Source organism: Homo sapiens, chromosome 6, assembly GCF_000001405.40.
Source record: "Homo sapiens chromosome 6, GRCh38.p14 Primary Assembly".
NCBI classification, from domain to species: domain Eukaryota; kingdom Metazoa; phylum Chordata; class Mammalia; order Primates; family Hominidae; genus Homo; species Homo sapiens.
In genome coordinates, this window is record NC_000006.12 from 88,855,109 (window position 1) to 88,870,413 (window position 15,305).

Genomic DNA, 15,305 nt, shown 5'->3' on the forward strand with positions numbered 1-15,305 from the left:
GAAAATGAAAGAGAACACTGACCAGACTGCCCAACCTCCTACCCGCAAAGTACCTGAGGTATGTCCAAAAAAAAGGCAGCAACGACTGAAAGATGCAGCTGAATCAAGTTAAGATTAGGGGACAGAAGAAATATTACATGAAGACATGCAAGCTAACAGAGTATATGGAAGCTAATATAATAGTGGATAACTGGCTAACCACAAACCAATGTTCTGAAGAGCAAAGTACACATGTTTAGGATAGGTGAGGAGAAATAGGAGAGCTGATGAAGGGAAAACAAGTGTACAAACAAAATGGAAAAGAGCAGCATGGAAGACCAAAGGGGCTTATGTTTTTGGATTAGATTGTGAAGTATGTTGTTCTTTGCTGTTTCCAAAATAATCAGTTCCAAAAAAAAAAAAAGTGAAAAAAGAAAAAGGAAAGGAAAAAAGGCAACATAATAGAAAAAAATTTTTTTAAAGTTTTAATAATAATGATAATTAGTTCCAGCAGGTGTCTGGGGAGCAGATGGAGAGCTCAGGCCCTTGCTATAATAGCTGCAGCCCTAGTAGATGGGGAGTGTGGGGACTCAGGTTTCACTAGGAAAAATAAATTCAGCCTCAGTCTGGACTGACTGTGTATCTGAAAGACTCCTAGACCAAATGCCAGGCCAGCTGGCACACAGACAACAGGAATACTTAGTTCGCAAGACCCTCTGGCACATGCTTTTCAAAAGCAGCAATTCCTGGTGGATAGAGAGAATCTAAGCTACTTGGAAGAAGTAAGCTTTGCCTTGGATTATGTTTCAAAAGGAATTTAAATCAACAAAAGGGAAGATCAAATAAAAAGCAATGATGACATCATCTGCAAAAATGGCATGGAAGACACACAACCCATCATGTTGTTAAGGACTTAGGCTGGCATTTTGCAAAGCTGATATTCACCAAAAGGGTATTTCAAGGCAAATAAGTTAGGAAACCACTGTATCTTTCTCTTAGAACGTCAAGATATATATTAGGATATTTAAAGTTATGATAAAATATATAAATAAATCTGTTCATCTTATTTAGTCCATTGTTTCCTAAACTTAATCCTGATATCTGTTAAAATTTGACAGAATTGGTATTCTATACTTACAATTTGAGAAAAGCTGACTTAAGCTAATAAATGTTAGAATTCAGAAAAAAGAAATGGTTTACTCTTATGATCATGTAATAATGATAACTGAAATTATATTTCCCCTTTCACTGACTGCCCAGAAGTTGAGAATTTTAAATTTAATGTTTAAACACAATAGGTATTATCCCAGGGTGAAGATGTATTTATTTTACACACACACACACACACACATCTTAGTATCAGACCTTTTCTTTTAAATCAAGTAGAGTATCAATCAAAAGAAAATATTTTCTATGCACACATGTGTATAAACAGATTTAAAAGACTAAGGAAGAAAAAGCTTTAGAGGACGGGATTTACAAAAGGATAGCTTCTGCATCTGCAGAAACACCAGAGAAATTATTTAGCACTTGGTATTTAGGGATTCTTCTGCACACATAAATTTTCAGGCTTTGGAACACAAGTTCCTGAGCTATGATTTTTAGTTTGAACTCCAGTCATTCCAAATCATATGTTCTTTTGTTATGCGATACTAACAAAAAGTAAGGAGCTATTTCATGTAAGGAATGTGGAAATATTTCCACATCACTCCAAAGTCCCTGAAAGCAGCCAGATTCTTTAAAAAGAAGCAACTACCTCACAAACTGTCAGATACTGCCTTAGTATATAACTATGATGCAATATAATTTCTTATTAATTAGGAAATTATCTCAACTGCAAATTTAATATTCAGAATTATCAATAGGTATTTGTATTATATTCATTCATTCCCATTAAAAGGCAAAATTTAATTCAGTATACGTTTCCCAGATAGAAAATGCTAAAGTATATAAACCAAAGGTATATGGATTACAGAAAAGCCAGATGTATAGACTACTTTACTGTAAATGCAGGTTTTCTACCAAAACTGGAAATAATCTTTCAGAGCAGTTGCTGAGATGTGAGATATATAATTAAGTAAAACAACCAAATATACATTAATAAAATTAGGAAGTACATAATTAAAGAGAAGGAAAACTGACAGAAAACAATGGTAACTAATACCACCTTAGAGTCCTAATTCACATTCCTCCCAGTAGTCTGAGAGTAAAATGGTCGTTAAACTCCTGGTAATTTAAAGTTATCACCAATTTAGACCCAACTCTGATCATCAATTCAGGAATTTATCTTATACTCTATGAAGGCAGAAATCCTATCTATTTTGTTCCTTCTCACAGCTTAAGTATCTTGCACAGTCTACCTGAATACACACTAAAGGAAGGCACTCAATATTTGTTAAGCAAAGCTGTATGTACAACAAAGTTCATCATAATATTTTATAACAGTGAAAGGATAAAAACTCAAATGTCCATCATTCAGCAAATAGGTAAAATAAATATTGCATATTCATGTAAAAGCATACTAGTCAAGCATTTTTTAAACAATGATAAAAATATTCATTAATATGGAAAGAGATTTACAATATATTTAGTGGGAAAAAAGCAAGTTTAAAACCAGAATACATTAAATAATTACAGAGGAAAGGAGGAGGACAAAACTGTATGTATATCGTAAATATAGAGTAAAGCCTATACCAAAATAGTAAGAGCTGCCCCATCTCTATGTATTAGAATTATCAATGATATTTGCTTTCCTCATTAAGCTTTTCTGTACTTTCAAAATTTTTAGAAATAAACACAAATTGCTTTTAGACACAGGGGGCAAAATTAAAGCTTTACAAGGGGGAAAAAAGCCACCAAGCCAGAAATGTAGTCTATAATCAGACCCAGAGAAACATTTTCCCTTTGCAAAGTGGCAATGAATTAAGACAGGATTCTAACCCTTGTTCTTTGTACCACAGTGGCTTCAAAACAACAGATATTCCTCTTCTTCTGTCATACAGCCTCCATACTAGAGCATTTTGATGGGCAATAAAAACAGAAAAGCTGATCATTTACATTGATTTATTTCACCACCATCTCTATCTCTATCCATTTTTCCTAGCCCCTATCAAACTTATTATGGCTTTTCTCTTAAATTTTTTAATCAATTATTTTTTAAAATATAAGTTAAAGGGCCGACCTGGAGCCAGTCTAGATGCTAGGCAGTACTAGATGCTAGGGTTATAACAGCAAATGGCACAGACTCTCTTCTCAACTTCACATCATTTACACTCTTAAAAAGAAAACAAGATATTAAATAATTCCAACCATAATACATATTAGAACAGTGAAGAAGAAGCTATTACAGGAGCCTACAAAGGTAGAGCCTGTCAGAGTTTGGAGATCATGGAAGGCATTCCAGAGGAATTCATGCATAGCTGATAATAACAACAGGTTACACTTACTGAGCAATTACTATGTTCTGAAGAAAAGAGCACTTTTATTAACTCATTTATTAACTCATTTAATCCTTACAACAACCTCACCAGGTCAGTAAAATTATTATCCCCATTTTCCAGATGAGGAAACTGAGACATTGCCCAATGTCATAACGCTGACACAACGGCAACGCTGATATTAAAATTTAGACAATAGTTTGTTTGTACACCCTCTACAGTATACTAACCCTCACATTCAATATGTAGGAGTCAACCCAGCACAGGTTGTAATGTGAGAGAAGAAGAGAAATGAGGGATGGGAGGGTTGGAGTACACAGACTAGTAGGTGCAATGTCCTTCAGACAAGATAGAATGCAGCAATGTTCTGGTAACTAAAAAAGGTTCAGAATACTCAAGTGTAAAGAGAAAGCAGGAAAATGGTATGAAATGAGACTAAAGAAGTAACAGACAAATAGGAATTATGAAAACTTTTTTTTTTTTCTGAGACAGGATCTCACTCTGTCACCCAGGCTGGAGTGCAGTGGTGTGAACATAGCTCACTGCAGCCTCAAACTCCTGGGCTCAAGCAATCCTCCCACCTCAGCCTCCAAAAGTGCTGGGATTACCGGCATAAGTCACCGTACTCAGTCTGAAAATCTGTTTAATCCCCCCACCCCCAGCTACTAGTTATTTTAACTTTTTTTTTTAACTTTATCTTAGAAAACAAAAAACTACTTGTATGAGACAAACAGAAACCATAATGCAGAATTCAAACCCAGGAGATATATATAATACAGCACATTGGTTACAAAGATACTGGAAAGCTGAGAACATAGAACAGGAAGGCTGAAATAACTCAGAGATTAATAGTTGCAGGAAGCACTATGACCCGCAGGACTAGGGGAACAAAATGAAAGAGGTCTGTTATTGAAAAGCTAGGAGCTTGGAAGAAAAGCATTATAGGGCTATGCCTGGAAGAAGGTGAAAGAGGTCCATGTGGCAGAATGCTCTAACCTCTAAGGAGGTGGCCACAAATGGCCCTGTAGCTTAAGTTTGAATCCCTATGAACAGGTGTCCAATAGAGGATGGTCAAACCACTAAGGGAATAAAGTCCAGCAGGTTAGGAAGTGATACAAGTGGCACTCTATCTACCTAGGATGCCTTGCCCAGAAGCTGGTATCTCTGAGAGGAAACAGCAAGACTGGTGCAGAGAGTGACAAAAGAAGTTGGAGAATGGAGTAATAGTTGTCCTTTGCTATTGGAGGTGTCCTTACAGAAACTGGGAATAAGAGTAGTCCCTTCTCTCACCTTCCAAATTCCTGCCTGTGCTCCCAGTGGTAAAACTTAACACGAAGTAAGCTGGCAAGGGAGTCTGGGAAATGTAGGTTGCAAAGTCCCAGCCCCTAACACAGAATAAAAGGGTGGACTCGAACTGAGAGATGGGAGGTAAATAAATGCAGACCACTAAAATGTTTTAAGCAAACTAATGACATAATCTCACCTGCATTTTTAAAAGTTCATCACCACATAATGTATACCCCAACAGAATAGGGGTCAATCTGTAGACAAGAGAAATTATAAGGCCTCTGTAATAGACCATGTGAGAAATCACAGTGACTACGACAGTAGTAACAATAATTTTAGAGATAAATAGATAAACTCAAGATATTCAAGTTGCAGACTGACAGTAATTCAATATGCTATTTACTGGATATGTGACTGAGAAAATGAGAGAAGTTCCAAGTTCTGGCTTCAGGAACTGGGCATATTTACTGAGCCATGGGGCATTTAAGAAGGAAGCAGTAATTGTCCCATTTTGTTTGGAAGAAACGATGGACACCATGAGTTTAGATGGAAACCAAAGGCCCAGATTTTCCCTACCCCTAGCAGGCTGGAAATAGGCTCAGGATCTAGACCAGACTATCCATGTTCCTTTCCCAAAACTTTTAACTTGAGTGACAGAGAGGCACAAGAATAGTTGCAGAATTATTTATAGCAACAGCAAAGACATTGTCAGCAAGTGCTAATGGTGGCTTCCTAATCAAAGTGTTCCTGTGCCCTGACCTTGGCTCTGGTCCTTGCTGCTGGCTTCCCTTGATTCCTATCCATTTTCCAAAAGTGGTTCTCCTTATTTATTCCGTTGCATAAATTAGCCAAAGTTGATTTCTATTGCTTACAGTCAAGAAGGCTAAGCATAGTGATACACGTCTGTAATCCTAGCACTCTGGGAGGCCAAAGCGGAGAATCACTTGAGGCCAGGAGTTCAAGACTAGCCTGGCCAAGATAGTGAGACCACATCTCTATTTTTTTTTTAACTTAAAAAAAAAAAAAACATGTTAATGGGTTTTTTGTTGTTGTTGTTTTTGCCTCAATATATACAGCTAAATGTAAGGAGGTTTAATGTGCCTATGATGAAATCCCACTGTAATGTCCCTAACATATCCTTAATACCAAGGGTTACATAATACTAGCCCTTTACCTGGTAACTTCATGCCAAGAGACACACCATCTATTTACCATCCTTCAACATAGACAAGTGTATAATGCTAATTCTAGAGTTTACTTTCTCTGTACATCTTTTCTCTCATAAGAATTCACTACCAAACCTCTGCTATTTCTATACAAGCTACCTTTCTTCTCATTTTTATTCCCAATAGAATTGGCACAGAAGTCCCTGAAAGCTAATTCTCAATGTTGTATTAGTATACAGAAATAAATTCAAGTATACTAAAATTTCTTATAAAGAAAATTCAGACCACTTTCCCAGACAGAATATATAAACCTTCCTCACATAGGAGCAGTTGGTCACACCATGCCCCCTACTCACCAACACCTGTCATGTGTTCAAAAAACAATACAAGAACAGCTGACTTGCCAAACTCCAACTTTCTTCCTTCCCCATGGGGCTCATGCACACTTTGCCTGTTTCTCTCATTACCTCACTGCTCAGTAAATTCTGCCTCTGATAACCTCTTTTGCAAGATATACCCATGTCTTCTTTAACCCATTTTTTCCTGTTTCTTTCAACTCTTTTTTTTAAATAAGAAATCTTAAGTATATTTTACAACTTTTTAAAAAGAAAAAACGTATTTCTCCTTCTCACCTCCTTTAACTTAGTTCCATTCATGAACCAACGAAAACTCTGATCAAAGCTAGTGACACTTCTGTATAAAGCAAAATTTAAAGTAATAAGTTGTTTAATCCATCTAGACAATAAAGAATCAGTGTCAAAACCCCTTTCACAACCTCCTTATATAATAGTCTCTATCTCCTTATCTTATAAAATCCAGTTTTCCCCAAAGTTTTTAAATTATTCAAAATAGTTTTCATAAACTTCTTATGTTACAATGGCAGTTTGCTTAATTACCAGTGTTGAAACAGTACATTTTGTCATTTTTCATAGTATATATACATAATAAGTAATTTAGCTACCTTAGGAATAAGCTTTAGAGGCTAGTTTAGGCACCTAATTATGATTTATACTATAATTCCATAGAAATACAATCTAAACTTAATGAATCTCAGAAAAAGACCAGATAATTTAAACATCATTTGTTTGCATCTGTGATATTGTGAAATATACATATATTTGTTCTTCAACCGTTTCCTGGCATACAAATCCTAAAATCCTCAGAAACACCAAAATGATGCTTTCTTGTATATTAATGAGTTGACTGATGGTTGGCAGCTCTAGGTAGCTTCGGGATGGGGACTAGGAAAGAACATGGCAAGATTAGAGTGTTGGGACTTTCAACACCACCCCACATCTTCTAGGAAGGAGAACGGGCTGAAGATTAAGTTGATCACCAATGGTCAATGGTTTACTCCCTCACGCCTACATAATGAAGCCTCCACAAAAGACCAAGGACAGGGTTTGGGGAGCTTCCAGACAGCAGAACACGTGGACGTTACTGGAGGGTGGCACATCCAGGGTGGACGTGAAAGCTCTGCACTCTTTTCCCCATGCTTCATCCTATGCATCTCTTCATCTGTATTCCTTGTAATATCCTTTAAAATAAACCAGTAAACGTAAGTTTCCCTGAATTCTGTGAGTTGCTTTAGCAAATTAATTGAATCCAAAGAGGGGGTTGTGAGAACTCCAAATTGAAGCTAGCTGGTCAGAAGTTCTGGAGGCTAAGACTTGCAACTGTGTCTGAAGAGGGGGCAGTCTTGAGGACTTTACCTTATGTCATCTTCCCAGAAATTCAATGGACTCATATTAAGATCCTCAGTTTCACATTAACAAATTTAAAAGAACACACACACACAGTAACACTGTCTAACCATTTTTTGACTTTTTACTGCTGCTAACAGTCAGTGAAATGACAACATAGCTCTAACATAATCTCTTTACCAAAAACTATCAAAATTTTCATTCGGCAATATAAGAGATTCTAACCCTACAGTTATTTTTGTTTTGACTTATTGATTCTGTAAGTACAGCAGGCCTCTTCAAAGAATGAGCTCTTCTTTCACACTCGTACCACATCAACTTAAAGTCATGAAACAGATGTGACTGATTATGGCTTTATGGTCTTAAATTCACTTTAAGCCCACAGCTCCCTTCTATTATGTGATCACTTACATGAACACAACAGTAATTAAGCAGACAACATGTATTATTTAATTTTAAATTGCAAAGCCTATTCACTTCTTCACCAATTTAATTGTCAAATTAATCTAACTAGTCTTTGATCTTAGAATGTTAATTGTATATTAAACGGCAGGCCAGCAGCATGCCACTGAAGATTTGGACAATTTGCCAACATTTAAATGTCTTCTACATAAGCATAGCCATCTTTAGTTTATATGTGGCTTCTACCACAAATTTTTTACTATGTCCTGTTTATCTAAACAGTTTAATCTTAATGAACAGTACTGGGTAAATTATGTCTATAGAAAAGTCGACAGTCAAAAGACTGTAACTTTCATTTTAATTTTAGTTAATTCATCACAAGTAAATTTTGAAGACGTAGAGATACCTACCATAAAGAATCAAAAAATCTCAAGCCTTATCAAAGTACCGTGTGTGCTTATTTCTATTAACAGATTATTAATCGTCTTCAAAGTCTGTTTCAAGAAAGTCCCTTCAACCATCAAGATTTAGAGTCTTGTGTAAATCTGTCAATTTAAAAAGCAACACTATGACAGAGTTTGGCAGGGCATGGGGCCCAGTGTCAGTTTCTAGATTCCTCTCTCTTATTCCACAAAATTAATGACATATTAAATACCAAGTGTAAGGAAGGAGCAAATTTTTTCCAAACTACTCAACAATTTTAAAAAATTAATTTGCAAACTGTCAATGGTATGACTGCTATAATTATGGGCTCTGATGAAAAATCCAAGTTCCAGAGCCTGTAATTCCAGACTCAATAGTGCTTGCTATCTAGATCCCTAAAAATCAAGCAGGCAGACTGGAACCAAAAATCTCATCCAATATTATGAAGGTCCAACTCCTAACTATATGCTTTAACTTCACAGTTGCAACTTGCTTATTCTCCTCTCATTTTGCCATCCTCCACTGCTCAGGAATTTGTATATGTCTGTTTCTAAGCCCATGTAGCTATACTACTACACCAGCCTGTCTCAAAATACATATCTTCAAATTCCTATTCAAAACTCCCATGAAATCTCCCATACTCCAATTAACAGGTCCTAGTCAAAGCACTCTATCACTCCAATTTGTCCAGGAATTATATAGCTACTACATATAATAAATGATCACATCATGGTGAAAGAGAAGCATACAGGGAGCAAGTAGGAGTGTTAAAATCCAGCTTAAGGAGTTTCAACTTCATTTTGTAATTGGGTTGAAGTATAGTTGAAATGCAACAAACACTAATAAATAAAATGAACTGTTCATTTGCCAACATTAGCATTAAAAGTATTTGTACTACATACCATTAATTACATGTTAACATATAGCAAAGAGGGGTGAAGATATCTGTAGGCAAAAGAGAAGGTACCAGCATAGAAAATTATATGGCACTCTACTATAGTGGTTAAGAACCATTCATCCCATACCAGCTCTTACTAATTATGTAACTTTGCACAAGTTACTTGACTAAGTGTCTGTTTCCTCACCAGAAGTTTTAAACTGTCCTAAGACAGTTTTAAGAATTAAATGAGTTACTGCATTCATGTCCACAGCAGCCTTATTCACAATAGCTAAACCACTGAAGCAATCCAAGTATCCATGGAGGGATGAATAAGCAAAATGCAGCATATACATAAAATGGAAAGATATTCAGCCTTTAAAAGGAAGGAAATTGTGATATATGCTACAGCATATGAAACTTGAGGGCATTATGCTAAGTGAAATTAGCCAGTCACAACTGGACAAACACTGTATCATTCCCTATGAAGTACCTAGAGTAATCAAAATCAGAGACAGAATGGAGAACAGTGGTTGCCAGGGGGCATGGGGAGAATAGGAAGTTACTGTTTAATGAGTATAGAATTTCAGTTATACAAAATCAAAGAGTTCTGAAGATAGATGTTGGTGACAGTTGCACACAATATGAATGTACTTAATACCACTGAACTGCATATTTTTAAATGGTTAAAATGTAAATTTTATGTTATGTGTAATTTACCACAATTTTAAAAATTAAAGAAAAGAATTAAATGAGTTAATATATAAAAGATACTAGAACAGTGATTAATACACAGTAATATAGTATCAGCTATTGTTATTATGTCCAAGGCACAGAGTACTTAATTAAGTACTTAATTAAAGCTAGATATCATTAGTACTACGACTACCACTACTACCACTACAACTACAGCTGCTACTAGTACTACTTTACACAATCCAAAGAAGAGTTAGAGTTGGGGTTAATGATAAAACAAAACCCTGAATAAAACAGAAAGGATTAGTTTAAGAACCCTATAAACAGGAAACAGGAAGCCATCCCTTTTGAACACAGAAGAGAAAGAGATAAGTGAACACAGAAATTTTGAAACATAGAGAAATGAATCACAGGTAACTCTTGGTAAAGGTTACCCACAGACCACACACCCAAACATATAAACATATTTACACAAAGGCAGTCAACAACTATAGTAAAATAGTTCCTTAATTCATTTTTCTATGAATAGGTATAACCAAAGTAAATTTTGTAAAATCAGACGCTGCACTGAATGAGCGATAACTCAAAACAGAGAATTCATATTTTAAAAACTTGAATCAGGTAGGTCTCAATCTGTCTAAGAGCTTGTTTTCTAAACATTAGAATGATAAAAACAAACCCAGAGCCTGAAATATCCCAATATACCAAAAGAATTTCTTAAGATTTACTAACAATAATGGTACATACACAATAAACCCGAAAGCTATAATACACAATGGAAAATTATCATTGACCATGTTTTGGTCCCACAATCTATCTCATTAAAATAAAGATTAGTAAAATGATAACTTAAATAAAATTATAATTAAATCTACTTGGGTTCATGTTTCCTTTATCTACCAAAAAGAAATATAATAACTGTCATAACAATAAAAATTGACTGATAAAGTCTCCACCCTCTACAAATTTATAAAATCAACTAACAGTTTGGGGAAGTGCAACGAGCAAATTATCAAAGCATATCTTTCACTTTTTGAAAAGAATTGTCAAGTTAGGACTAAATTCATTTGCTAAGGGCAACATGCATCTCATTAACTGCCACTTCCGTGGGATAGAATATGCTTCCTCCTCCTTTTCACCAATCTTCAAAGAATTAGAGAATTATGGAATTATCAAGGGTTGAAAGGGTTCTTATGTAGTCCCATATCTCCCAAGTAGCATGCACTTACACACGTTTATACCCCACCTCCAGTGCTGCGACAATCCTAAAATTTCCTAAGGCACAAGAAAAACCAGACTAGATTCACAGACAAGAGCAAAAAGTATTCATACAGGCACTACCAAAGACACAAAAAACTAGTTACATTACCTCCTCCAGTTTGTAAATGTCTGAAAACAAAGTGTACATTAACAGTCACTTTAAATAAAAACATGATTTACCCTACCATAGCAAGAAGCTTCTACCTCAAAAACTAGATTTGAATATAATATATTTTACTATCTCCTAAGGTCACTTAAACCTGTTTCCTGATCATCTAAAGTCCAGAAAGTAAGGACTCTAATAACTGGATACAGACACATTCAAATAAATCAATGTATCCATTTATTTATTTTTCTTCAAATCTTCAAAAGCAATAAGGATGGAAGAGAAAATCTTAAGACACATCTTAAAGATTCAAATTGAATAAAGTTGGTTTAACAAATGAGCTGCCATCTATTTAGGGGAAGAGGAAGATTTCTCTTGGTTTTAAGTATTTCCTTATGCTGAAAAATATGACTTTATCGGATTAAAAATTAAAAGTCCACCCTTACTAACTAGGTATGGGACCTTGTAAAAACCACTTGGTCTCTCTAGCTTTGATATCCTCATCTATAACCTGAGAAAACGGAGTCAATTCTTGCTACTTACAATGTGGTCCCTGGACCAATAGCATTAGCATCTCCTGGAAACTTGTCAAAAATGCAGAATCTTGGGCCCCAGCCTAGACTTTCTGAATCAGAATTAGCATTTTAACAAGATTTCCAGGTGATTCACATACACATAGAATTGTGAGAAGCACTAGACTAAATAACCTCAAGCCACCCTTAACACTCAAATTGCAAAAGAAAATAGAAAAGCCAGGGCCAGGCATGGTGGCTCACACCTGTAATCCCAGCACTTTGGGAAGCCAAGGCAGGCAGATTACCTGAGGTCAGGAGTTTGAGACCAGCCCGGCCAACATGGTGAATCCCCATCTCTACTAAAAATACAAAAATTAGCTAGGCATGGTGGCACACACCTGTAGTCTCAGCTACTCAAGAGGCCGAGGCACAAGAATCGCTTGAACCTGGGGGGCAGAGGTTGCAGTGAGCCGAGATCATGGCACTGCACTCTAACCTGGGCAACAGAGAAAGACTCCATCTCAAAAAAGAAAAAGAGAGAGAGAGAATGAAAATGGAAAGCCTGACAGCAGATGTCCAAAAAAAGCAAAAGAATTTTAAAAATTCTTTTAATCTGAAAAAAAAAGTTTTCACTGAAGAATCTGTCCAAAAGTTATATTCAATAGATTTTCTCTTCTTAGCTATAGAAATGTGCTTGTTTTGATCCTAACTAGGATTAAAAAGAGCAAAGAGTACTAGAAGAAGAAGAAAAGAAAAACTAAGTATGATCACAAGTTAATTCTAATCAGTCTTCTAATTTTCACATTTTATATTATGCAACCTTTGAAATTCACTATTGGCTAGACTCATTGAATGAATGCTAAAAGTAAGCTACTTTGAGTAAAATTTTCACTAAGTCCCAAAAAAGGTTCACCTAACAGTCTTTTAATTATACTGAAAATGGGAAATAAAGTGTTGGGAAGGATGACTGGGAGAGAATTACTATAGGGTTTTCCTGTGCCTCCGGCTGGGAAAGCCCCTTAGGCTTAGCTTTCTGTGCCATCACAACCTTTTTCTTCCTCCAGTCACATAAGTAGGTGAAGTGCTTCCTCTTCCACTGCCACAGCAACTATTCCTCAGAGTGTTCATTTCCCTGCCTTCTGTATCACTATGGAAAATAGTCTCTTACCACACTCTTTACCTGATTTCCAAAAAAAAAAAAACAGCTCTTTTAAGGCCTCAAAGGCTATGGGGCTAACCAACTGACTCAGCAAATCAGGTGGTCCTAAACTTCAAGAAGATTGAGATAAAGGATCTCCCATTTTAATAGCCTCCTAAGAACAATTCAAGGAGTGGGAGTTGACATCATAGTCAAAGTTTAAATCAGAAGCTTATGGCTTAGCAATCATTAAAACTCTGACATGCTTCAAAATATAAACAAAGGGTTTATGCAGCCACCAGTGTAACAATTTTCTCATAAGCACCTAACTGCCTTAACTGTAAGAGCTTACAAAGATTGTGGATTTATATCAATTATTAATCAGGTCGGTCCAGCTCAGGCTGTTTCTACCTCATGACTTTCTTCACATTGCTCCCCTCACCCCTGTTACTCATCCTTCACTCATCATCCTCCTAAGAACTCCCACATTATTAGAGTCTATGTCATGTCATTTATATGCAATTATACTTCATATTGTTCATTAGATTTTGACCTATTTTAGGGCATGAACCACATCTTCAATTTTCTTTTCTTAAATACACACAAACTCTTTTTCCTTTTAAAACTTTACTGCCATTGAAATTGACCACATATCAAAATATTGTATTTGGCAGCTCTGAGTGTGTAGTCAAAACAGCAGCCATTTAAAACTTGTCAGAAATTAGGAATTTCCTTTAAAGCAAGCACCATCTTTTTCATACTCTCATGTTATTTCTATAGAACAATGAACATTTTCAGAAAAAAATTTTACTGAAAGGGATTTTAATAATCTACAAGAAACTTGAAATAAATTTACTTTTAACACAGGCATTATACTTTACCATAAATATTTTACTATAAAGATCACCCATTATTTTAAATTTAGAAATGTGCTAATAACACAATTAAGGTATTTTTAAGAAAGAGAATTAAAAACACATGTAGAAGATGTACAACATGATGATGCTTGATTTTATTTAATATTGCTTCATGCACAAAGGAAAAATCTAAATAACAAAACCGTATCTAAGTGCACCAAATGTTTTAAGAGAGTTGTAATTTCTCCATTTACTGGTATCAAACATAAAATTAGATCAAGTTAGGAAAAATTTTAAAGCTCACTGTCATGCAAAAAGTACAGATTGAGATCTGAAACTTCAAGTCATAAGAAGCTTCCTCACAGGAGTTATAGCAGTTTATAAAGGAGAAAGTATTTTGACCTTTTTCGTGACTGGCCATTAGACACTAACATTATTCTAATGCAAGTGGAGCTGTTTATATTTGTCTATAGCTGATTGGTTTAATTTCACTGAATCATGCTGGCAAAGATGTAAACCTCATGCTTTGTGGTTCTTTTATAAGTAGAGATAGTGTTTCAGGGGAATCAGAATGACTTGAGTTTGGGTTACAGGGTTATAGGCAGTTGGCCTTGGGATCTATCTAAACTGTGACCTCCATTTTTATTTTCCTTTTAACACTAGTAAGTAATTCTTAATGAATCAAACTATTAGAAATTAACTGGTTGCTACTAGTCTTTGTTCAAGTTCACATAAAAGTACCAGGAGAAATCCTAGAAGCACCAATTTCAACAGCTAATACTACTGAGACTATAAAAATAAATATATTATGGACTCATAACATTAAGGCAACTACCAAGGCCACATCATAGAGCAGTCTCAAAGTTCAGCTGCTTAAAGGCTGTAATTTATGCAGCAATTTGATTTGTTCTAGTTATATATTATATCCTGCAACTCTAGCCAGTAGTTTACATTCTATCAGGCTGACATAAGATGTAAAAGACCTAAATGCCATTCTAGATAATTCATAGGGAGACAAAATTTAGTTTTCTGCCCATGCAAAAGTATTTTAAAAATTAAATTTCTAAATTCAAAAATGTTACTAAAATAAAATGAGTCCAAGGAAGCTCACCTGCCAGCAAAAATAGCAGCAACATTAAATCTGGGCTGAAAGCCAGAGTGATACTATACTAAGATGGGCCACCTATATAATCTTCAAATCAGACTTCACAATTTAAAAGCACTGTCAGAATTGCTCATTTTCTGATTTCTTTACCTAGTTCACATGTTACTGCCTTTTGAGAAGCAAATTACCATCAAACATGCAAAAACCAAATGTAGTTCCTCCAGAAAATAAAAATCCTATATATGATTTTAAAACATATGGTTATAGAATTTTTTCCCCAAAATATATCATTAGGGCACATATATAAAAATTACTGTTCCTCATATACCACATACAAGTCAAATAACTTTTCTA

General features: G+C 35.3%; 1 protein-coding gene across 5 annotated transcripts in view; it reads right to left on the bottom strand.

Annotated features, from left to right (window-relative positions):
• RNGTT (RNA guanylyltransferase and 5'-phosphatase) overlaps window positions 1-15,305 on the bottom strand; it is a 353,722-nt gene that overhangs the window by 245,212 nt on the left and 93,205 nt on the right. The gene's annotated exons all lie outside the window — the stretch shown is intronic.